General features: G+C 39.7%; 1 protein-coding gene across 3 annotated transcripts in view, besides 1 other annotated feature; it reads right to left on the bottom strand.

The window, feature by feature from the left end:
• Positions 1-291: 291 nt before the first annotated feature.
• The window catches only part of UPP2 (uridine phosphorylase 2), a 140,976-nt gene continuing 115,054 nt past the window's right edge, over positions 292-26,213 (bottom strand). For 2 of the 3 annotated variants that reach the window (NM_001135098.2, NM_173355.4), the window contains 5 exons: positions 21,187-21,345; positions 18,508-18,622; positions 14,828-15,037; positions 12,551-12,697; positions 292-1,698 (listed from right to left, as the gene is read on the bottom strand). In NM_001135098.2, coding sequence (NP_001128570.1) covers positions 1,556-1,698; positions 12,551-12,697; positions 14,828-15,037; positions 18,508-18,622; positions 21,187-21,345 — 774 coding nt within the window. In that variant the 3' untranslated portion in view covers positions 292-1,555. The other variant, XM_017003484.2, reaches the window with a different exon arrangement.
• Positions 21,878-23,077: an enhancer, noted in NCBI's record as "MED14-independent group 3 enhancer chr2:158969881-158971080 (GRCh37/hg19 assembly coordinates)". NCBI's record gives its function as "activates an origin of replication core promoter dependent on BRD2, BRD4, P300/CBP and CDK7 cofactors, and independent of MED14, by STARR-seq in HCT116 cells {active_cell/tissue: HCT116}" and the evidence as "EXISTENCE:reporter gene assay evidence [ECO:0000049][PMID:35650434]".

Below are 26,213 nucleotides of genomic sequence, written 5' to 3'. Positions count from 1 at the left end.
ATTTCATTCTTCTCCCTCTCATAGCCTCTCCTTCTCCGTGTAAAAAAAAAAAAAAAAAGATTGTCCAGGAGCAGGCAGATAAAAGTTCAAACTGAAGCCTCTCTGAGGTGGTTTTCACTACATGGTCTAAAAAAATATGAAACAAAGTAAAAATCCCATCAGAAAATGACGGCAATGCTATTCTAGCTTGCTTTTAGCTCTGATCTTTGAATTTGATGGTCAATTATTGAGATACCCTAAAAATGGCACTTAAAGTGTCTCTAGTGCCAAAAAGAAGTTCACAAACCAATGTACCTCTTGGGGGATTGTTTATTGGTGATGATAAATACCTCTTGTTTATTGTCATTGCTTGAAAGAGAAAGACATTCCCCACCCAGGAGCAGGCCAATTCAGACTCAACCGGCCTAGGACCTATTTCCTGCCCCAAGCCTCCATTCGGTCATGTGTGACAATGGCTCTGGGATCCAAATAATCTGTACTGTGTTGGAATTAAACTTTATTTGAGCCACAACCATATAAATAATATGTACACAACATTACATACTATACAAGTGTGCCAGTCATCCTCTACCCATCCCCCATCCAGTCATTCCGACTCCCAAGTATGTCAAATTGAGAAGAACCCAAGATGCGATCAGTTCACAGAGAGCATGTGCAGCCAGGAGGAGCACCATGCCTCCCAGAGAATCAAACGGGTAGGGCAATAGGCCGGTCTGGACAAGTCATACAAAAGGATTCCTTTAACATCTTGAACTCAAGTCTTAATTCAATTGCTATGAATTTCTCAGCCTATTTGGTTAATATTGAAATGGAATAAAAAATACAGCCTCCTCAAAACACTTTTTTTACAAGAAAAAATGGCTAGAAGGCAATTTAGTCACTTGTGATTCTGAAGAAAAAGGAAGGCCTTTCTTTGCATTACTGAGGGTTTTCAGTTGAGAGGAAAATGTAATCCAGAGTTGTTATATTCTGAGATAAAATCACAAACAGGCATATGTAAATCTCGAATCCTATTCTGTGGTGCACTGAAATAGTGCAGGGGTAAAAAAGCAGTATGGCCATATTTTCCTAATGGTAACTTTTCCATATAGACCTACATTTCACTGACACTTTTTTCTGTAAATATTTTGAATATGGATGATCAGTTTCTGTCACTTGTCCAATACCTAGAAGTGCCTGACAATGTTCTAACATGAATTTCTGGATTGGTTTCAGAAACAGAGTGACTGGTAACTATGTGCAAATGGCTGGTCTATTTTGATGTGAGCTTAATTAATGCTGCATATGAAACTCCAAATGTCATAATCCAGGAGTTTTAAAATTTTAATTATTAGACTGATTTAGTTAACTTATTCTAAAATGAAATTTGAATTTAATTTAGTGTGAGTATTCTTTTACAATAAATTCCTTTTTAAGAGAGAAGGATTTCATAAAGTCTTTCCATTTAGCATGTGGATGAGAACTATATAAAAATGCCACAAATAAAATATGACTTTCACATTACAACTTGAGCTACAAACTTGCAGGGGAGGGTTGGGCTGCCCAGTTAGGACGTCTAGTCACAAAGTCCAAGCCGCCGTCTGATGAAGTTGGAGATTAGGAGCTGAGGCCGTTGCTGGTACTCCACCAGGACATCATGAGGCAAGTTGATCTGATCACAGTCGAGTCTGTCGAGAAGTGTCACACAGACCACAGCAGCTAGAAGAGCAATTAGCACAACTGATGGAATGAATGGGTTCATCTTTTCTATAGAAGCATTAGCCAAACACACCAGCATCCCTAGCACATGTACTTTTGTGTATTTTTGTTGTTGTTGTTGTAATGTAGATGCAACCTACTGAACCTTCTGGTCTTCAATATTTTTGTGGAATCCCACCAAACACTTCATTTAAATAAGTTAACTAAAATTGTTGTGAACACTCCTCCTTCCTCTTTTCCTCCACAATTGACTAGATTAAGGCTCAGGAAAGCATCATGTTCAAGATAAAGGAGAAAGCTTTGCAATCTGAGATATGCCATCTCCTGCTTTCTATCCTATTTCCAGTTCTTAGAGGAGGGTCTTTTACGGGAGGATATAACTGGAGAACTAGCCGTAATTCCCAAGGTGACATTTTTCTCCTTGGTGCAATGGTTGAGTTTGCCTGCTGCATTGCAGCCCTTGCTGAAGAAAAAAGTAAATACAGAAGAGATATAGAACGCTGACCTCAGGAAATACCAATAAACGTGAGTACTGGCTCTCATGAAATTTGAGAGGAAAAAACATGATATGAAATGCTTAAATGTAAGAAGCAGCACCATGAAAGAGGAAATGTATTAGCATTTGATTTCTAAAGAATGAGAATGAAATCTTATAGGAAACTGGAGGAAAAAAAACAAAAGTCTTTTTTAAAAAATGAAACTCTTATTTTTGAAAAGTTGTCACAAGGGCAATGTCTTTGGTTTCATCAGCAAGAAAAATTGAGTTCCATATGAATTCTTTATTGTCAGTTTCATATCAAATCTTTGATTTCAAGGAATGTGGTTACCCACATTGAAATCAGTGTTAGCCACTTTGAATTGCTAACGGTGTAATAATCTCCATCTGAATCTGCATCATTTAAAAAAGGATTTCAGTACATATGTGATTGGATTGGATGTGTCTGTATTAACAAACTTGGAAGGCATGGAGAGAGTTGGGCATGAGGGTAGTGTTTATTTCTTTGACCTCTCTGCTACTCCAGACTTCTTTGTAAGATCTAGATTTGGGAAGAAGTAGTATACTGTAATTATAATAGTACATGCTATCTTTATTTTTAAATGACAAATAGTAATTATATATAATTATGAGGTACAATGTGATGTTTTGATATATGTATACATTGTGAAATGATTAAATTAGCCTAATTCACATATCTATCATCTCTTATACTTGCATTTTTATGGTGAAAACAATTAAAATCTACTCTCTTAAAGATTTTTCACTATACGTTATTACAAACTCTCATCACTATGCTATGCAATAGATCTCTCGAGCTTAATCCTCCTTGTAACTGAAATTTTGCACCCTTCGACCAGTTTCTCTCCGTTCCCCATCCTGCTCCCCTATACTCTGGTAACCACCATTCTACTCTCTACTTCCATGAGTTTGATTTTTCTAGATTCCACATATAAGTAAAATCATACAGTATTTGTCTATCTGTGCCTGGCTTATTTCACTTAACAAAATGGCCTCCAAATTCATCCATGTTGTTGCAAATGAGAGAATTTCCTTCTTTTTAAAGGCTAAGTAGTATTTCATTGTGTATATATACCACATTTTAAAAGTCTATTCATCTGTTGATGGACACTTGGTTGATTCCATATCTTGGCTGTTGTGAATAATGCTGCAACAAACTTGGGAGAGCAGATGTCTGTTTACAGCACACTGATACCAGTTCCTTCAGATATGTACCAGAGGTGGGATTGCTAGCTTATATGGGAATTCTTAGTTTTTTGAAGAACCACCATACTGTTTTTCATAATTGATGTACTAATTTACATTCCCATCAACAGTATTCAAGGGTTCTCTTTTCTCCACATCCTGCCAACACTTTTTATCTTTCGTCTTTTTTGATTATGGCCATTCTAGCAGGTGTGAAGCGACACCTCGCCATTGTTTTAATTTGCATTTCCCTGATGACTAGTGAGGTTGAGTGTTTTTTTTAATATATCTGTTGGCCTTTTGTATGTCTTCTTTTAGAACCTATTCAGATCCTTTGCCCATTTCTTAATTTGTTTTCTTGCTATTGAGTTGTTTGAGTTCCTTGTATGTTCTGTGTATTACCTCTTATCAGATGTATCAGTTTAGAAATGTTTTCTCCATGCGTTTCTCCACATTTCTCCAATCCATGTATCTTTTTTGTTTGACTTAGTTATTGCTACATGCCAAGCATTTATGATATCACTTAATCCTTTACAGCTATTCCTTGAGCTAGGATTATTTTTGTCCTCTTTCGACAGATGATTAAATGAGGGCTTAGAATGATCAACCAAATGGCCCAGTATTACACAGCTGGTCAGAGCCAATCAACTCCTAGCTTCCTAAACTGATGAGAGAAGAGTTCTCTACCTTCCATCCACTCCTCCCCTGAGCTAGCACATGGTGAACCATTAGGCAATCCTGCCCTATCGGTTATACTGACCCATCGGTCAGACTGACCCTCTTGTTCAGTGACGTGAAAAGCAATGAAAATATTCAACTTGAGCTGCGGCAAATATTTCATCACCTAGGACCCTATTTATTCAAAACTCAGTCAGTTGTAAAGCAACTTGGCTGTACAGGTAAACAAGCAAATGGAAGAGCTAGAAACTTCCCACAGCTTTTCAAGTTAATGATCAGCAAATCTGTGAAGCCTGACATGGGCTGGCAGTCGCACAGAAAAGTTGAAAGTCCTTCTCTAATCCTTCACTTTGGCAGAAGGATAAAAGGAAACCAGTGCTCTATACTTTTTACAGAGTGGGAACCGACTTTACTAAATGTCTTTTCTGGATTTCAAGGGGAATGCCAAAGATAGAAAAGAACAGGTTATAGCAATCTCAGTGGTGTTTTCTTGACCCTGGAGAATCCACTAGCGAGCAGCATATAATAATCTTGTCACTTAAAATTACTATTTCCATGAGCAATTAAAAGGGACTAATTACCCAAAACAATTTGCTGAAATTAAGCCTGACAGCTTTGCTAGCAAAATCCTCAGATTAGGCAGGGAGGGTGGCTGCTGGGGAGGAAGAGATACTTAGTGACCCAGCTGCCACCAAGGAGATTGTCAGTGAACTGACCTGAGGCTAGAATGTTCTGGGAACACACAGACCTGAACATGGAGCTTGGATGCACCCTGAGCTGAACTAGGACTGCCCAGTAATTGTCAACCCTTTGGGAACATTTATGGCTGCTTTGAAAATCTGATGAAAGTCCTAATTGGAACCTCTTTTCACACAAAAATACACATCTGCCAATACACACAAAATATTTGTGTATAACTTCAGGGGTCCCAGGGCCCCTGAAAATTCACTCATGAATCCTTAGGAATCCACGCACCCCTATGGACCACCACTTTAACCCCACCTCTCTGATTCAGAATGAACTTTCAACAAGGTTTTCCCATGAACAGTGGGCAAAGATAGCAGGGCTGGGCACAAATGCCCATTGCACAGCAGAAGTCAAACAGGGCTGGTCTTTGGAAAAAGGAAAAGCAGCAAAGATTAGCTTTGGAGTTCCCAGCCTGGCCTTTCTTCTACCTCTTCCTGGTTATGTTCATACCCTCCCCCATTGCTCCTCAAGGGTTTGAGTTTATTAAGCAAACACTACCTTTGCTCCCTATATGCCTGGTATGTAAAGCACAGGAAATGTTTTTTAATCAACAACCCAGAGTCTTTGCACTTCCTGTATCTCCGCTGAAACATTAATCTCAGGCTATTGGCTGCTTATTAAAAACAAGGTGGGGAAAATTTGTATTCAAAGGGGCTGGTCAATGGTAAGAGACATAGAAACAATTTGTTCTTCTAGAGTCATGTTTCTCAAAATGTGCTCCACTGGCCTCTTGCATCAGAATCAGAGATACTTAGGCTTTATTCCAGACATACTAAATCACAATTGGGGATGGGTGTTGGGAAAGCGCAGTGAATCTGCATGAAAACATCTTCCCAGTTAAATTATTTTTACATTAATATTTGAAAATGACTGCTTCAAAGACTTTAAACTCTATCTTTGAATCATCATTACCACAAATATACATACCTGGACCCCAGTTCTTTGGGTGCCCAAACAATGCTGAATTAGAACCAATTCATTATACCTATGAAGAATTGTCCCATACCTTTTATAAAGGTGCTATCAACGACACTGCCCATTATAATATAGCTGATAATTTCATTTAAGTTTAACATTTGGATCAAGATTTTGTGACAAACCGCAAATGTTTTTACTAGCTAATGGTGGCTGTATAATGCACAGTGGTTTTTTTTTTTTGTTTTTTTTTTTGAGACGGATTCTTGCTCTGTCACCCAGGCTGGAGTGCAGTGGTGCAATCTCAGCTCACTGCAAGCTCTGCCTCCTGGGTTCACGCCATTCTCCTCCCTCAGCCTCCCGAGTAGCTGGGACTACAGATGCCCACCACCATGACCGGCTAATTTTTGGTTTTTTTCGTATTTGTAGTAGAGACGAGGTTTCACCATGTTAGCCAGGATGGTCTCGATCTCCTGACTTCGTGATTTGCCCATCTCGGCCTCCCAAATGCAGTGTTTTTGTTTACAGCTTGGCTTCCAGGAAACTCAGAGCTCAATCTAAGTGTTTAAATTAAGTATTGTACTCCTGGGTGGCCTCTTTAATACTGAGAACTTCTAGCCAGACACAGTGGCTCATGCCTGTAATTCCAGCATTTTGGGAGGGTGAGGCACGAGGATTGCTTGAACCCTAGGAGTTCAAGACAGCCTGAGCAACAAAGTGAGACCTCGACTTTGCAAAAACAACAACAACCACAACAATAAAAACCCATACACACACAAATTCGTGGTTGTATGAACCTGTGGTCCCAGCTACTCTGGAGGCTGAGGTGGGAAGATGGCTTTAGCCCAAGAGGTGGAGGCTGCAGTGAGCTGTGGTCATACCACTGTGTTCCAATCTGAGTTACAGACAGAGACCTTGTCTCAAAAAAAAAACAAACAAAAAAAAACCTTCCTATCTATTTCCTTAAATAAATGCCTCCTATTTTTTTTTTTACCTCTGTTTAAATTATATTATTATGCATTCCTCTTTCATTGAAAGCTGCCACAAATGCTTTTTTAAATAGAGGCAGTACAGGTCATCTTTCGATAGATGAATATATTACTTTTTTGCACCTTATGGAATAGTGGAGAGAGTGGTGATCAGGAGACAGGAGATGTCTATTCTAATTCATCTCTGTTTTAGTCTGTTTCCTCAGGCAGGTCAATTACACTCTCTAGACCTCATTTCATCCTCTGAGCAAGGAGCAGGTTAGATCTCAAAGGCTTCTTGCAAGTCCACATCCTCAGCTTACATGCCTCACATGATTTGGTTCGTTCAAAAACCTGCTGTCTTCTCCAGGAGGTCCAGATGTAATCTCGAGGACTTGAGCTTCTGCCAGATGTGGGACCGTTAACCAGAGATGCTACAGGATAGGTAGACGATGGAGCCTTGTGTACTTACTGGAGGTGGGGGTGAGAGGCTCACCAGGGGAATCCAGATAGCCTCCCTGGGGTCATAGCAGGGGAGAGGAGGGCCACAAATAATGACAACCACAGACAGGGTGGAATCAATGGCGCTAAATGATCCCTAATGTGTGAGTTGTTGGCAGTGGGAAGGGAAGAGTAGAATAGAGGCTAGGAGGGTGGAATTAAAATGAATCAAACAAAACTATAGACACTGACCTTGATTAAAATATGTGAAAAAGCAAAAAGACACCTTTGTAAAAATCTTGTCCCTGTAAAAGTAATAAGTGAATTATATACCATTTATACCTGATTTTCCAGCTACAATGACTGATTTTCTTGGCAAAATGAGGGCTCTGCATACTATAAAATAAGTATCTGCTTAATGTTTTATTTGATCCCATCACTAAGTCAATTGGTATGTGCTCAGCCCTTAGGGTTTGCTTGTGGCAGTGGTGCAACTATCTGCTCACCACACTTAAAATGGAAAAATCTGCATTGACTTTTAGTGGTGCACATTTTGGCTCTTCCGTCCAGAGACTATGAACATGTTGTGTCCACACGGAGGCTGCTGGCAAGAAATGGCAGGCAGGGTGCAAAGCTGCCTGAGTCAGCCAAGCTGGGTTCAAAGTCCAGCTCACCTGTTTCCCAGCTCTGAGAAGGTGGGAAAGTTATTTAACCTCCCTGAGCTACAGTCATGTAGAATACATACAGAATGAAGTTTTTCTCTTGTAAAGGTGAAGAGCCCTGCAATTGGTCTCCTTGTACCCTGGCCTAAAGATTTTTCAAAATCTGGATTTATCTCCATTTTAGGGTTAAGAAATACTCTAGCTCCAAACTGATTATAACCTTTAATCCTTGTGGTATCTTTTTACCTTTATCAATGATCCTCATGCAGTTCTCAGAGTCCAATATCCTTCATTGTTGGGAACAGCAGAAGAATATAAACATGGAATTAAAGTCAAGATTCTGCTCCCTCTCATTGAACTGTACTAAGGTAATATTATAAAGACTAAATATTTCCCTAAGTTACCAGTGTCTGTCCAAGGAAATAACACTGAATTCTTTAAAGAAAAGCCACTGTGAGTGCTGCAAACAACTAGACATAGAAGAGGATTTAAGCAGAACCTAAGCGTAGACAAATATTAGGCTTCATATATTGTCAGGCAAGCCTGTGTCAAAAGGCAGCACTGTCTTTAAAACACGAATACAAGTTAAACATACTTACCACAAGTTCACAGTACAAGAGGATTATCATCTTTCATCAGAATGTTTGGGGCTTAATTAAAGTAGATTTTGCTTTAAGAGAGACACAGATATGTGCATATTATAAAGTGATAGGAGAATGCATTTATTGAGCATTGCACAGTGCTTCCATTGAACAGGTTTACATTATGCTGAAAATTTAGCTTTGGAATAATTGGGTGAATTCCACTATTTCCCTTCACCTGAATCTTTGTTAAAACAGCATTGGATTCCCAACTCTCTTTTCTAAAATAATGAGATCAGGATAGCAACAGTGACTTCTGGGTGTCAGTGGCCTTATTATAGGTAGTTTGTCCACCTATCAAATGTTGACAGACCCAGAGGTTGTAGATCTAGCAAAATAAATATTTGTATAGACCTTAGAGCAAAGGGAGGCTTGACTTTAAGGCTTTATTTCCCCCTTTGTGGACAGTTAGGAGATACTCCTAAGTCCTTTAGACAATTCTAAGCCACTTATATGGCTGGGGAATAAAGGTTAAAGTTTGCAATGGCCATTTTCCATAGTCAAAAAGAGTCTAGTGGCCCTTTTTTTTTTCATTCACTCACTCGTTCAGTAAATATTGAAAGCCCATATGGCAGGCATTATTCTAAGTACTGGGGATACAGCAATGACAAACAAGGTCCCTGTTCTTATGGCACTAATGGAGAGAAATAATCAATATATGCCTTTATGCACTAATATGCATGAAATAATATATAAGTTAACATATAAACAGACTGGAAATATAGTCAGTAGTGGTAAATGTGATGCAGATAAATGAAATAGAATGACACCATTGTGAGTGAGTGAGTGTAGGTAGTCATGCAAGACTTTTTTGAGGAGGTGAGATTTAGGGTGAGATGTGTAATACTAACTGCAAAGATAATAAGTGGTAATCCACGTGGACCCAAGGCCTCCTTGTGCTAAGTAGATCTAGAAAGATCTGTTTCTGCAATGGTCCAAACTCAGTGAGTAATTCATCTAAGTTAGTACAATGGTTCTCTAGAAGACCTTTGTTTATGTAAGTATTTGGTATTTATAAGCCATCACCTTAGTATGAATTCTGATTGGTTATCCAGTCATCTGGTGTACTAAAGGAACAGAAGAGGTGTCAGAAGGCTGTCTGGAGAGATAGGATAGGGTGGGCCATAACTAACAGTGGCAGGGAGGGGGTTAGGGAGACATGCCTATGGGCCCTGGGCTCTTGGTGCCAGGTGAAATCTTTTTTTCCATATTGCTTACCATCAGATGTCCTCTCTAACTTCCTCTGTTTCAGCAGCTGTCCATGAATGCATTCTCAGCCCTTCCCCAAGCAAGCTTTTCTGGCTCACACAAAGTGCGTTATAAATGGGTTAAAATCAAAAGGTGCCAGATGCCAGCTTCCAAGCTTCAGTGTTACGGGAACAGGATGTTATGAAGTAGTAATGAAAGAAGAGAATATGATAGCACCCTATCCATGGGGTTTTCGGTCTCTATACTTGGTGGCTGATCTTCCAGGGGACAGCATACCAGGAATCCACCTTTTAGAACAGTAAATCTGAGGGAGATAAAGAGCCGCTGGCACCATGAAGACATTCAGATAGAAATACTCCCAAGAACTACAGAGCTGCAGATGCAACTTTTAGTGTGAATGTTGGCAGCCTAGAAGGGGTCTACTCCATGAAAGGCTGCAGCAGTGGCCTGGGGGAGAGCTATTTGCAGGCGGAAATCAGCTACCAGCAGGTCCAGCAGCAGCATAAGAAAGAAAATGCAGTGGAGGGCAGTAACTACAGAAATGTAGAGAAGAAAGCATCCAGGAGGGAAACCTGCAGGTAGCAGAGAGAGCAAGGTTACAAAGATTTGCAGCAAGGACAGAAAGGCTCTTAGAATAACTTCACTTAGGTTTCTGCAACATCCTAAACAGAGAAAGAAAGACTCAGAGTCCAGGGTCCACAAGCCTAGAACTCTTCTTGGCTGCCAGTTGGTGCCTCTTAAGAAAGAACTGCTGGTCATCACCCGGTTTTCATGAAGGCAACATGTTGATAACTCGGCATTTTATGTTTAACTATTAATAAAGTGGTTAACAAATTATGTTACACTTACACATTAGGTGGAGACATGACTCAAGTGATCACTTGTTTATGTAATAAAGAAATGTGAGGAGGCATTTCCTGGAGCAGAACCATCTGAATCCAGGTGTCCCTGCAGGCTGTGTGGGGTGCTGCTTTCCCACCGTCACTAACTTGTAGAGAGAAAAGCAGATGCTCTTGTTCTCTAAAAGAGGATACTAGCAATGACCTTCAAAAGAATACAAAGATGGGCTGGGCGTGGTGGCTCACTCCTGTAATCCTAGCACTTTGGGAGGCCGAGGCAAGTGGATCACTTGATGTCAGGAGTTCAAGACCAGTCTGGCCAACATTGAAACCCCATCTCTACTGAAAATACAAAAGTTAGCCGGGCATGGTGGCACAAGCTTGTAATTCCAGCTATGTGGGAGGCTGAGGCAAGAGAATTGCTTGAACCCAGGAGGCAAAGCAAAGATTATAGTGAGCCGAGATTGCGCCACTACACTCAGCCTGGGCAACAGAGGGAGACTCTGTCTCAAAAAAAAAAAAAAAGAGTACAAAAATGCATTGCGTGTTCTTCCCACGTTTTTACCAATAATTTACACGTACATATATTCTGACAGATGCAAGTAGTTAAGGATAGTGGTTCAACAATTAATCTCCTTAGAACTACAGCTTTTTTGTAAAATGCATTCTTAGAAATATGACCACATATATTCTGTTTGTAATGTGTAGATTAAAATTCATTGACTATAAGGACAAGTTTTGCAAGTCAAATTCCACTTATAAAAATGAAGCTTTATTGTGCTGTAATTCTTTACTTCTTTGAAGCCTTCCTCTTTGCATATCAGGATGCCACACTTCCCTGGTGTACTGCCAACTTCATGGGCCACTCCTCCTTGGTCTCTCCCATCTCAATTAACTTTTAACGTTTAAGCAAGGACCTCTTGTCATCTGTGCCTAGACTCATTGTTTGTTATCTTACCCATTGCATAGCTTTAAATGCCATCTATATGCTTTCAACTTAGAATTTTATGTCTCCAGTGCAAACGACCAACCTAAACTCCAGATTCATAAATTCACCTGCTTGCTTGGCCTCCATTTTGATGTCTACTACCCTAATGTCTTCACCCCAATTTCCTCTGTCCCAGTTATGGCAACCTCATGCTTCCAGTAGTTTAGACCATAAACATGGGAGTCATTTTTAACTCCTGCCTTTCTCACCAAATTTACATCAAGTTGTCAGCAAATGTTGTTGGGTTTGTCTTCAAAATGTTTCTACAATCTGACTACTTCTCACTACCTGCGCTGCTATCACTTTGTCCATCAACTCTCACTAGACTACTGCGTTCGCCTTCTCGTTCTTCTCCCTGCTTCTGCCCTTGACCCCATTCGGGTCTTCCCAGCTGAGCCGCCACTGTGATTCTGTTAACACACAGGTCAGATCCAGCCACCTCTCTATTCAGAGCTCTCCAGTGGCTTCTCATTTCACCCAGAGTGAAAGTCATTGTTCTCACAGTGTCCTACACAATCTGTACATCTTCCCTCTCTCCTCCCATTCTCCACCACTGCCTCTCCCCTCCTGATCTCTTCCCTGTTCCTCCAATTCTCCTTGAATGCTCCTGTCTGTGGCCTTGGATTTGCATTGAACAGAATGCTCTTCCCCCAGATATCCAAGTGGCACATTCTTCTCCCATCCTTCCCTGACCATGCTCTTTAAAATTATGATTGATGGACTATTTTAGGAATATTTTGTTTGTATCTTGTCTCAATAAATTCAATTGTAATAGAAACTACTAGCCACCACCAGGATGAAGGAAACTGAACTTGCTGTCAAGCCCTGAACATGTCACCAATTAGCTGTTGAACCCTGAGGTTTAGTTTCCTTATTTGCATAATAAGAATAATGTCCTGGCCACTCACAAGATATTATGAGATAATGTATATTATATACAATTATAAGTCATGCCTTCAGCCCAAGGTAATATATAGCTGGACCTCTTTTTCTTCTCCTAAGGTGTAAAAGTAGCTTCATGAAAGAGGAGAATTTGACCCTAAGCATTCACGAAAAGCTTACCTTTTAGACCACAGAGTCCACACATAGCTGCAAACACTGTAGATTCCATTTCAATATTCCTGACACCAGCTTTAAATGCTCTCTTCAAGTAGTCTAACTTTTTTTCTCTGGAAAAGGAGCACAGTGCTCCATCTAGTCGGCCTTGGCCTGAAAGGGAGGGGAGAACGTTTAGTGACTTGATGTCCCACCCCACTGACAGTGGCCTCATAGGAGGCTTGCTGTTGGCTGGAGCACGCTGCCGCTGTCTAACTCTACAGCGTGCTCCCCGTGTAGGATAAACTGAGCTGTGTGACTCTTCCTACCAGAGGACTGTGGAGCGATGCTGTCCCTAGCTGAGGAGTCTCATACGTAGGAAGGAGCCTTCATGGCCGAGGACCTCAGTTCTGGGGTCAGTAACTGTTGAGTGGCTGCAGCAGCCAGCACTGTGCCCAGGGAAATCAGGAAGCGGGGGGTTGCTGTGAGAGCTGCCCTTTGAGGAAAATCTCAGGTTGCTCCAATGACTGGGGAATGGCCCAGGGATGGGTGCTGGGAGAAAAAAAAAGAGGTTTCGATGATGCTAAGCTACTTGAGGATCAGGACAGTGTTTGGACATTGCGCCTCTCCATATGCCTTTGCGACATTGTCCACCTTCCCCCTTTCCGCACACTTCTCAGGCTGCACGCCACCCCTTGTGATCACATTTTCCTTTCCAGGCTGCTCCCAGTGTTCATTCATCACTGAATTTCAGCTGTATCTACCAGTGCGGACAGAAGCAAGGAAAGGAAACCTTGATGTCATTACTCCTTCCGTACCCTGTGCACACCCAGAAATAGACCTCCTAATGCCTCCTCACTCCTGAGAAGACCTGGATTCAAGCAAGTGGGCTAATAGCACTCTGTTGCCATCCATTATTTTCACAATCCCCTTTTTGGTGCTCTTTCCTCTCTTTTTCTCCCTTTCCTCTATCTCTTTCACGCTACTTTCACCCCTGGCAGTCTGCTTCCCCTTGTTCCTTCTCTTCTCATTAGAGCTGCGTGCCACCACCTCTATTTAAGCTGATTCAAACACAGACATCGCAGAAGCCAAGCAGGTAATGTCGATGCGAGTGTCTGGTCTGAGGGGAGCAGCTTCACCTCACCTTCAGCAAATGTAGCCCCAGATGTGGGTCAGGGCTTGTCAAGGCTGTCATGCATATACTGGTGTACATTTTTAAATGCTAGTTATTTCAAAAAGCCAGAAATGTGGGTGTTAATATAAAATCTCCAGATATTGTAAATGTTGGCAAAATAATTCACATTTTTAAAAATACTGTGCAGGCCAAAGGAAACATTGACTTTAACAAGCTTCCATTTGCAAATTCTGCTTTAACATATCAGTGAGTGACCCTCGAGATGGACTATGAGTCAGTGGCCTTGAACAGAGGGTCCCAACCCTATTGGACCCCAACAGCCCTTCTATTTTACAACAAATATGTGGTGAAACCACCTTTACTAACCGGAAGTAAAATGTATAGATAATATGACCTATCTCCAAACATAATTTTTTAAAATTCAATATATCTTAAGTTTGAGCTAAAGGGAAAATAAAAGTAATTTATAATGAAATAGTATGGATTTTGAAAAGAATAAAACTACTGCCAGATTTTCAGAATGCCCTTCAAGGCATGGTACCAATACTGTGTAGATTCTTTCTTCTGGGACGAGAAAGAATCGGGGGTCTGTCTTTGAAGGTTTCTTCCCCTTGGCCCTTCATCCCTAGTAGCAAGTGCTGCTACATAGCAGTCATCTTCAATTTGTCTCTAAACTTGGTTTGGGGACCCCTTACTCATGGCTGAGAGATAAAAACCCCGCTCTGAGATCATGCCATCCCGTGGGATTTGTACCCCCTCCCCAAGCATTTCTCCCCATTTTCTGGACCACTGTTTCCGGGGGACAGGATCATTTTTGAGGTACAGATGAATGGCAGAAACATAGAATCAGCATACTTCCCTTCTCTTAGAGCTGCTAATTTAAGTTAAAGGCATAAACAGAGATAAGATTCTGTGAACATCACTAATTGCATTTTAGTGTTCAATGTGTTCTTGGAGGATTAAATCCACCCTCAATATAAATTCATTCTGCTGCTCATTATGTCCTTGTGTTTCTATGCTTTAGTAAGTAAAAAAGGCTGTTTCATTTCCTTTTTAACCCACAAATATTAATTTTCTTAAGTAGAGTTGTTAATATAAATTATGGGTTTGAATAACAAAGAGTTGCTGGCATTTTTCTGTTTCCTTCACAGTTTATAAATTGTTCTCACCTTCATAAAAATCATAGGTACACATTGTATGTCCAACGAGGGTTGGGAAGTTGGGGATTTCTTTGCTACAGTTGAACAGTTCTTCAGACAGTTCTTTGTCCAGTTCAGTACTTCGGGTGACAATGTTGTCCAAAATGACCTGTTCAAACCGGGGCTTAAAGAAGGAGTCTACAGCTATATCCGTTATTACAACAGTCCCTGGTGCAATCCCTGCAATGTGGGAATAAATGATTACAGAAGAATATCGTTTAGAGTTTACTTTTGACACATAGTATGTAACTTATTCTAGTATTAATGCTAGCTGCTAATGAGTCTCCCTGTTTTCAACTTTAAAATTATTTTCTTTTCCAAATGCAATTAAATAACATTCAGAAGAGGCATTTACATTTGTTGTCTTTTCAAATGCACATTTACAATGTGATGGGGTTTAGATTTCAAGACAAACATGACTCTTGGACATGCAAATTAGTGCCAGACTTTGGGCTCAAATTTGAATAAATTAGGTCAGGAAAAAACTAAATAAGCCTGCCAGCAAGTAGCTTTCATAAAGTGATGTGACTTCTTAATATTTAATCTTCTCTGCGACTTCTTGATTACTGTAATTTCTTTGCATCTCTATCCTCTTTTTCTTCTGATTCTTTTCACATTTGTTCTCTCGCCGACTTCATGTAAATCAGGGCTCTTGGCTGACCTTCCATGGCTACAAAGTCTGAGTTGCTCAAGGGACTTGGGCTTACTTAAGAAACTATTTTCTGCCAACTGTTAGTCTCCCTGCCTGCCATGCCATCTCCTCCTCCCCCCACCTTTTCACCACACACCAAGTCACTCTTCAGGTGTCAGCTTAATTTACTTCCTGAAAAAGGTCTGAATCCACAGAAGGGAAGCAAACAAATGAAAAAATTAAAAGGCAACACAGATAGGTTACACTAAATTTCCCCAGGCCCATTTTTGACCCAGCTTTTGACCCAGTCTGGTTTCTATTTAAAGCCTGAATAAGAAGATATATCTTCATAAATGCCCTAGACTCTCTCTGTCCTAACACTTTTTATAATTACCCATTTGTTTATCTTTTTCTCTGATAGAACATAAACTCTATAAAGTCAAGAACTATGTCTGTTCACTGCTCTCTCCTGGTCTAGCTCTGTGCCTGCCACATTATAGGTACTCAATAAAAATTTGTCAAATGAGTGAATGTTTTCACAAAGATGCCATAGATTATAGCTCCGCAAGCCTATGGTTCATAAACCAAATCCTGTCTTTGTAAATAAAGTTTTATTAGTCACACAGCCACACCCATTTATTTACATATTGTCTATAGCTGCTTTCAAGCTCTAGAGGCAGAGTTGAGAAGTTGCAATAGAAATCACACAGTCAGCAAATCCTAAAATATGTACTGTCTTGTCCTTTACAGAAAAAGCTTGACAATCCTTTCTATAGAGTATAGACTTATCCTTCAGGGTGGCATAAATTTTGATATTGATCAAAGTAGACTTAATTACAAAATGCTTTAGAAGATCCAACTAGAGACCCAAGGTGGCCACTGATAATAGAGCCTTGTTGGGTGAAATATTTTTTTTTAATTTATTTTTATTTTTATTTTTTTTTTTTGAGATGAGGTCTTGCTCTGTCACCCAGGCTGTAATGTAGTGGGGTGATCTCAGCTCACTGCAGTCTCTGCCTCCAGGGTTCAAGCAATTCTCCTGCCTCAGCCTCCAGAATAGCTAGGACTACAGGCACATACACCCACACCTAACTAATTTTTTGTATTTTTAGTAGAGATGGGGTTTCACCACATTGGCCAGGCTGGTCTCAAACTCCTGGCCTCAAGTGATCCACTGCCTCGGCCTCCCAAAGTACTGGGATTATAAATGTGAGCCACCATGCCTGGCCAGATAGTTTTTAAACAATCCAAGTAAGTGGCTCCTTGAATTGTTCACAATGTCCTAAGAAAGTGATTGAGAGGGAAGTTGAAAATATATACATAAAAATGATGTTATTTATATGCCATCTTAATATTTAAATGTGTTAGTGTATTATGTCATGGTTAAGGTTTCTCAAAGGTCAACATACTATTTAACTGAGTAGTTTATGCTTGTTAAGGTGTGTTGGCTCATGTAGGAAGGGATCATGTGAGCGACAATACTGTGTACATCTTTCATCTCCAAACGCAATACTGCTTAAAAGAAAATAAGCAAATACATCTTTTTGGTAAGCTAAGAGTTCTTAATGAGGATAAAACTTCAAAATGAAGGTGTCCACACCAGTACAGTGGGTTAATTTGCCACCATCCATGGGCCTTCATTGTGTGCTATATGTATCGTGTTGCCATGAAATAAAATACCCTAATCAAGAGCTGGATGATCATTGGAGCACCTTGCCCATGCTGGTGTTTGTTAATATCAAGTGGTAACTGTAGCAGTCAGGACTTTACAATGCATGAATGTTGGCTATGAAGGCAGATCCTTGTAACCCACAACCCAAGAATTATGAGCAACTTTAATAGCTATGTTATCTGAAATTCATGCCCAAATGAGCAGTTCCCTACTACTGATTATTTGGGGTATTGTTGGATAAACTACAATCTAGAAGGATGCCTGATCTGACACTTATTGCTAGCACTCTACTTCTCTCTATGGATGAACATCCACAAAGGTCCTACTTTCTCCCAGATGTAAGGGCCTTGGCTGGACTTTATTCCTGGACCACGGCTGTGGAAAGCCATCATCTTTTCCAACATGTCTGATTTCTAGTGAAGCATGGCTCAGCCATGGTGGCTTTGTGATGTTGAACACACCACTTCTCCACCTACTTGTGTGAGGATTTCTGACATCCCTTTTTGCTCCATAAATGTCTAATTCTACCACCATTTCTCTTCCCAAATCTCAGCCCTTTTTATAATGCCCATTCAGTTCTATCGCCCTGTCAACCAAACTTCTCCATTTGCCATGTGCAGTCTGTATTTGCACTTTGGTGACATGGTAAAATCATACCCTGACAAGATGTGCTCCTTAAGAAAAAGCTGAAAGTTTTGAGGAAACCTCAAAACTTCATCATAACACATTCTGGAAGCAAAACCAAGGCCTCTATACAGCTGACTGACAGGCCTAAGAAGAAGGGAGGTTGGGAGGCTCTGTGAAAACTATAGGAAGCATCACTTAAGCCTTCCCTGAAAGCCTGGCCTGGTTTCTTTCTAGTGTACTGATGAGGAAAAGATACAGCCAGTAGAGGTGACGTAGTAACTGATGTGAGCAAAAAGCAATGTTTTTCTAAGAGCTTTGCAGTTTGCTCACTTAGCTGATAAAACTGGGACATTTTTATGATTTTTTTTTTTACTTGAACACACTTATTTCTGTCACTTTAAAAAAACTCCTAAGACTTGAAATTTACCCCTACCCTCAAAACATATCTTCTAACAATTTTTCTACTCTTCCCTTTATAAACACCTAAGACTATCCCGCAATAGGCAGTGAGATCTCTCCCTGTGGGTTTCCATAAAGAAAAAAGGAATAAAAGAAAAAGGCAATGTGGGCAGATTTCCTTAAGTTTCCTCAAGTCCAGCCTTCTGACACTTTTTAGCCCATCTGGGCTTTTGCTGGGCTCTGAATAGGATGTTATATTTTGGCAGCTACCATGTATGTAAGGATCACTCAGTTCTAATAGTAGACATCAATCCGTCTCACCTATTCCCCCTGATGTACCGATTCTAATAATGGTGACATCGCAGCACCGTGCATGGTGGAGTAATTTGATGAGTTCATGAAGCATAATAGAAATGGAGGGGATGCCCATGCCGTGCTATTGAGAGAAAGAGAAAGTCATCATACATCTTGCAAAGTGATACATGAACAGGACATAATTTCTTCCATCATTACAAGTTAACAGGCCTCAGATACATTTACATAATCATTAAGACTTTGCCAATGCTGAGGAAAATGTAAGTCCTCCCTAATTGGCACCTACATGACATGCTGACAGATGTGTCCATCTGTGAAGATCAGAGGGAGGCATCTCACTGCCAGTTCTGTTGACTTCAGCCCTCATCAGCAAGAGCAGAAGGTGGGGATGGTGTGGTATACAGGTGTGTCAGGGCGGTGCCATTTCCCATCTTCCCACTGGGCTCTTCATGATGAGCCTTTGAAAAAGAGCTTTTTGCACGATTGACTTGATTTTGAGGAAATATAATTTTGGTTGCCAAATCATCAGTCTTTTTCAACCATACTAAATGAAATAGTGAATCCATTTCATTTGCTGTTAATTTTGTGTGCTCTGAAAGGTACTAGAGTAGAAACGTGGGTTAGATTCCCCACTTAACAATTTTAAACTTAAACTGAACATGGAAGTGAGTTTAAATTACTATAGATGATGACCATAGCCCTGTTTTTTTCAGTATTCAGGACAGTGGAATCAATGTCACCAGAAAAGGGATCAACACAGGCTACAGGATTTAGCAACTCCTGGTGGCTACACAATGTCCTAATAACTCTCCAGAAACATCCTCCATTCTGTAATTTGCAGAAACTGGAACTGATTTCAAAACTGGTAGTAACTTAATTCCTGACATAACAGCAGAGAGTCAAATGTGCTCTTCAATGTGTCCTACTTTTGGACACAAAGACTTTGGAAAACCATTGGCCGTGACCATGATGTTTTCACCTGAGCTTCCTCCGTCTATCAAGAATGTTGAGCTATGGAAACTTCGAACCTCTGCGTTACCCCTTTCTGGTTCCCATTGCATATGCCCTGACTTTCAAATGTTTAGTAAGCATCCTGGAGCCAGGCATCGAACTTGTATTGATTTGTATATCCAAGATTAACAAGTTTAGGACTTTGGAACTGGCTCTGTGACTAATGAATAAATGCTCTAAGTATTATTTTTTCTTACCTGCAAAATAAGAAGATGAACTATTATTTGATCTATTAGATTCCTTCTAGTTCAGACATTTAGTAAGTTAATGATTGCCACTTATTATGTTACGCATTGATAAAATGACAAATGGACTTGTGCTCTCTTTCACACACACGCACCCCATTCAACCACTACTGGAGAGGAAGAATTTTCAAAGAAGGAATCACATTTGTCAATCCCCTGCCTGCCTAGTAAGGCCCATTTCTAATTGGTAACCTTGGCATCACACATATTTCAGGTCTTTTTCCCAGACAGGACAGGATCAGTCTATTGCTGTTTTCATTTCTTACTGTGAAGTTTTACTGCTTATTTATGGTAGTGTCACATTTTTAAGAAACTTACTTTTTTGTCCTTCTCCATTTACTATACAAAAAACAGTTATAGTCTAAAGGTCCACTAAATGTTGGTAAGAAAAAATTTACCAAGATCAGTGGATATTCAGCTTCCTTCTAATGTAGATATTCTGTAATGGTTTATTGAATGCACAAGTGAATAACTGAATGGACTCTCCCATTTGAGCAGGTTTCAGGCGCTCTTGGCCCAGAGAGGAGAGCAATTTAGCTGCCTTATTGGTGTTGCATAATTTTCCCTTCTTTACCGCAGGTTTTCATCAATGATTGTCCACACTGTAGGGCAATCAATGGATGATGCCTATTCCCTATGGTAGGAGCCACTTACAGCTTAGTTCCTTAGAATTGCCACCCTGTGCAGGAGACTCTTCCCCTGTCCCCTGGCATGCCTGCCTGTGCCTCTTTTGAGGGTTGCAGTGCCCAGAAATGTGATGGCTTCAGAGTTATTGCTTCAGAATACAGCCCTGTGCAGAGAGACAAACATGGGAAGGCAAATGGGATGCCTATGCACATACGCCCTCATCAGTGTGTGCCCAGCTGAGTCCAAGGGGGAAATGGTCTGCATCTTCCCTAAAACTGCAAATCATTCCCCTTTCATTTTGTCTTAGGGCACTGTGTGCTTCCATAACTGTTCACATGTTCTAAATGCAGGAGAGTAATTTACAAGAGCTCAGTAGAAATGCATTAGCAGCTTTTCAGCGAGCTTATTATGGTGTTAAACAGCAGCACTTTAGCAGTCCTGAAAATTAGCCTCTGTGTACTAAAAGCTCAACATTCCCAAAGCTGGGTAAGGGATAGAAGAAGGAAAATTGCCGTGGCGGGGGTGAGGGGTGTTAACCAGTTACAAAGTAAAGAGAAAGGAGGGGTGCTTTGAGTATTTTCCCCCTAATTTGAATACCTAAGTGGTAACTAATAAACAAAAATGATGCTGCATGCTGTGTTCTGCCCTGGGGGCTTTTTCCAATAATGAACTCATACCTGGACACCTTGTTTGATTGTGTAAGAATGCGAAGCTGGAGGGAAAAAGAACTCCTACATGTAAAAGTTCCCACTTTTTTCTCTAGCCTGCAATGACTAGCTGAAATGCAACCATGGATACTTACACTGATGGCGAGCACAGGCCCGGTTTTGTACATACAGTATCTGTCTGTCCCAGCACAGATGTCTTTTATGTCTTCTTCAGCTTCCTCAAACCCGAGCTCCTTGTGCATAAACAGTGCAAATGCTTTCATTCTGTTGGGGCTCCCACCGACACAGACAAACTGTTAATAAAAATAAACAAGGGCCTGCCATAGTAACTGGGATAAGAACCACGGGTCAGTTTCAACTCTAATGTTTTTATTTTACTTTTTAGTTAATTTACTTAAGAACACGTGTAGATGTCATGGTTTATGTTCCATGAATTAGCTAATTTGCATCATCAACCTGTAAATAAAGCAACAGATGCAAAGTTTTTTGCACTAAATTTGTAAAGAAAATCACAAAATCAAAATAAATGTTGATATTATTCAAGGAGGTGTTTCCTGGTGTTTTTGTTTATAGTGAACACCAACCAGCATCTTAAATTGACATAGACAGCCTATTGTTGAGCATTACCATGACATATGCTTAGGATGTAAGTTCTGAGGCCACGGCACGTGAGTGATGTAAGAGCAAAAGGAGAACCACCAGTTTTAGGTATGTTTTCTGATTCCCCATCCCCCATCATAAATTTGTATTGTGAAATGGAGTATGTGAACTTAAAATTTTAAAGGAATCATGTCAAGACTTTTAAATTTCTTATTCAGAAGAAATTCTCATGGAACAAGCCTTATTATTGTAAATGTGGGATCTCCCTGTGGCATTTCATCAATTCCAGTGATTTATTTTTGTTTTTGTTTTATTCACATTTTACCTTCTCTGAAATTAGGATAGGTGTTGCAGTCAACGGTGTCTAATAGAAGATGGTAATACAATTGTCTGGCAGTTACTCATACAACAGTCTGTTTAGGGGTACCCTAGCCCCAGGTACCAGGAGTGGGAGAGGTGGACGCCAGGGAGAGGAGCAGAGAAGCACTACGGGTCAGCAACAAGAGGGTGAGCAGTAGCAGACTCTCACACCCAGGAGGAAGCACAGGCCACAGCAAGGTGGCAAGAGTCAAGTCCTCCCGGATTCTGAAGTAAGTGGTGAGGAAAATGCAGAGAGAGAGAAGACAACATAGTGGAGGGTCTGCCCTTTGAGGTTAGGTAAACCTGGCTTTGAACTCCAACCCCATCAGTGAGTAAGAAACTTGCTCAGTGTCACACAAATAATCGATGTGCCTCAGAACATCTCCAAAATAGGAAAAACACAGTACCTCTCAGAGAGTTTTGAAAGAAGAACGTGAGATTGCATATGGCAAAGGACATTGCACAAGTCCAGACACGTTCTCAGTGATGTGCAAATGGTAACCATTATTTTTTATATCATGTAGCAATTTTCTATTCCTGCTTCTGAGCTTGTTACTTTTCCTGTATTGCAGAATTTAGTACACAGGAAGCTGGTTTGAGTCCTCTAGTGAGGAAAAGGCAGTTGGTGGTATCTGGCTGATGTAGGCAGCATTGGACAGAGGACTGGGAGGGCTGACAAGGTCCATCACAGGGATAAAGAATATCTGTCTAACGAAATACCTAACTGAGGTTATAGAATAGGCGGCCCCATTCACAAATGATTTACTCTAACTATTGGGTGGTCTGAGTACATGATGCATCTTGTTTCCATTTAGCAATAATTCCTGAGCTATTCTCTTTCTCAATTAGGGGTGTAATTAACCCTGTATCCACGCCCTCTGCTTCTCTTCTACCCTTAATATTGTCTTTTCTCTGCCTTCTTATGAGTTTCTCTGATGAAGCCTTAAGCTAGTAATGAACTGCAATAGAAGTCTGCCATAAAGACTGGTAGCAAAGAGGTTAAGACCATGGTTTCAGGTGAGTTTTAAACTAGTTATTGATAATTCTTAGAATTTTCTTCTTTGTTGGTATGGATAGTTAAGACTTGGCTCACGATCTAAGTCCAAGGAAATTTTTTAACACAGTACGGTAGTTTGAAAATAACCTCATTGTGTGGTGCCAGTGAATGTAAATTACAACTATTCAGATTGACCATAAAACCAAAACAGATGTTAGAATAGCTTGTGGTTTGAATTCTCCTTTGAACTGTAGATATTGCTATAATCGACAGGAATTTCTGAATATTTCTGGAGACATAAAGATCATATGCACAGACAGAAGCAGCTTGGTTCTTAAAGCCTTCCTTACTCCTAAACCAGACTCACTAAACACCACCTCTGGACACAATTTTCGGTCTGGCTGCTTTAATGAGAAGTAAAATATGGCTGAAGACCACCAACCAACATTGACCTTAAGTGACACTTACTGTGTTTATGTCTCAAACAAAATGATCAATTGTCCTGGTTTTATCAAAGAAGTTAGAAACACACTGGGAAGGAGTCAGAGGCATTACAAAAATATGTTAAGGATTTTGCCTAATGATTGCCAGAAAAAAACTCAGCTTTAGATATCCCTAGCATCTTAAAAGGCTTAACTATGCCATGTTGTATTAATCTGGTCTATTGCATTTTATGCATTTTCTGTGTTAACAAGGGAATATAAATACATTCAAAATGCATTGCATATTACTAAAATTTCTAGTGAGAGATTAGAGGATACCAGTTAGTGATTTTATAAAAGACATATTTAGATGTTGATTTTGAATAGATAACTTCCTTTTTTTTTTAGAGTTCAATTTATTTATTTTTATTTTATTGCTTGTGTTTTGGTATCTTACATAAGAAATCATTTCCTAATCCAAGGTCACAAAGATTTATGTCTATGTTTTCTTCTAACATTTTATAGAATTAAGCCTTACATTTAGGTCTTTCATCCATTTTGAGTTAATTTTTGAATATGGTGTGAGATAGGGATCTAACTTTATTCTTTAGCATGTGGATATCTAGTTGTCCCAGCACCATTTGAAGAGATGATTCTTTTCACAATAAATTGTCTTAGCATGCTTGTTGAAAATCAGTTGTACATAAAGGTGAGAGTTTATTTCTGGTCTCTTGGTTCTGTTCTAGTGATCTTTATGTCTATCCATATGTTAGTACCACACTGTCTTTATCATTATAACTTTGTAATAAGTTTTGAAGTTGGGAAGTGCGAGTCCTCCAACTTTTTTCTCCTTTGTAAAAACTATTTTGGCTATCCTGCATTCCAGGCATTTTGACGTGGATTTTATTAGAAGCTTGTCAAGTTCTGCAAAATAGGCAACTGGAATTTTAATGGGGACTGCATTGAATCTGTAGAATATTTTTGGTAGTATAGTTATCTTAACAATATTAAATCTTGCAATCCATAAGCATAGGATGTCTTCCCATTTACTTAGAGCTTTCAAAATTTCTTTCAATAATGCTTGTTGTTTTCAGAGTATAAGTTTGCACTTCTTTTGTTTATTTGATTCCTGTATATTCCTGTAAGGTCTATATGTCCCACTTCAAGTCGTACAACATTGATTAAAAGTAGATTTTTAAACATTAAATATGTTTACTGTAATCCTTAGAGCAACCACTAAAACAAATAAGCAGAGAAACAAAACTGAAACAAAACAAAGAGATATAGTCAAAATATAACAGATAAATAAAAATGGAATATTTAAAAAATGTTCAACTATCCCAAAAGAAAGCTGGAAAGAGGAATAAAGAAATGGAAAGCAGAGCTTAATACACAGAAATCAAATATAAAATGGTAAACCTAAATCCAAACATATCAATAATTACATTAAATGCAAAGTGTCTAAGCACCCATTTAAGACACAGAGATTTTCAGAATGAATAAACAAACATATGATCCAATTATATGCTGTCTATAATGATAATGATACAGGCAGATTAAAAGTAAAAGAATGGAAAAATATAGACCATGCAAGCTTTAATCTAATGCTGGAATGACTATATTAATATCAAAATAGGCTTCAGAGCAAAGAAAATTACCAGAGACAGAGGGATATTCCATAACCATAAGAGTCAGTTTACCAAGAAGACATAACATTCAAAGTGTATAAAAACTAAAAACAGAGCTTAAAAAATAAAGCAAAAACTGTCAGAAATAAAGTATTAATAAACTCACAAGCATAGTTTGAGACTTCACCTCTCTCAGTAATGCATAGAACTTATGGAAAGGGAATCGGCAAGACTTAAATGTTAGACCTAAAACCATAAAAACCCTAGAAGAAAACCTAGGCAATACCATTTAGGACATAGGCATGGGCAAGGACTTCATGTCTAAAACACTAAAAGCAATGGCAACAAAAGCCAAAATTGACAAATGCGATCTAATTAAACTAAAGAGCTTCTGCACAGCAAAAGAAACTACCATCAGAGTGAACAGGCAACCTCAGAATGGGAGAAAATTTTTGCAATCTACTTATCTGACAAAGGGCTAATATCCAGAATCTGCAAAGAACTCCAGCAAATTTACAAGAAAAAAACAACCCCATCAAGTGGGCGAAGGATATGAACAGACACTTCTCAAAAGAAGACATTTATGCAGCCAAAAAACACATGAAAAAATGCTCATCATCACTGGCCATCAGAGAAATGCAAATCAAAACCACAATGAGATACCATCTCACACCAGTTAGAATGGCAATCATTAAAAAGTCAGGAAACAACAGATGCTGGAGAGGATGTGGAGAAATAGGAACACTTTTACACTGTTGGTGGGACTGTAAACTAGTTCAACCATTGTGGAAGACAGTGTGGCGAGTCCTCAAGGATCTAGAACTAGTCCTCAAGGATCTAGAACTAGAAATATCATTTGACCCAGCCATCCCATTACTGGCTATATACTCAAAGGATTATAAATCATGCTGTTATAAAGACACATGTACATGTATGTTCACTGCGGCACTACTCACAATAGCAAAGACCTGGAACCAACCCAAATGTTCATCAATGACAGACTGGATTAAGCAAATACACCATGGAATACTATGCAGCCATAAAAAGGATGAGTTCATGTCCTTTGTAAGGGACAGGGATGAAGCTGGAAACCATCATTCTCAGCAAACTATCACAAGGACAAAAAACTAAACACCGCATGTTCTCACTCATAG

Source organism: Homo sapiens, chromosome 2 (assembly GCF_000001405.40).
Source record: "Homo sapiens chromosome 2, GRCh38.p14 Primary Assembly".
In the NCBI taxonomy this organism is placed as follows: domain Eukaryota; kingdom Metazoa; phylum Chordata; class Mammalia; order Primates; family Hominidae; genus Homo; species Homo sapiens.
Note: the sequence above shows the minus strand (reverse complement) of the source record. Positions and strands in the feature narration are given on the sequence as shown.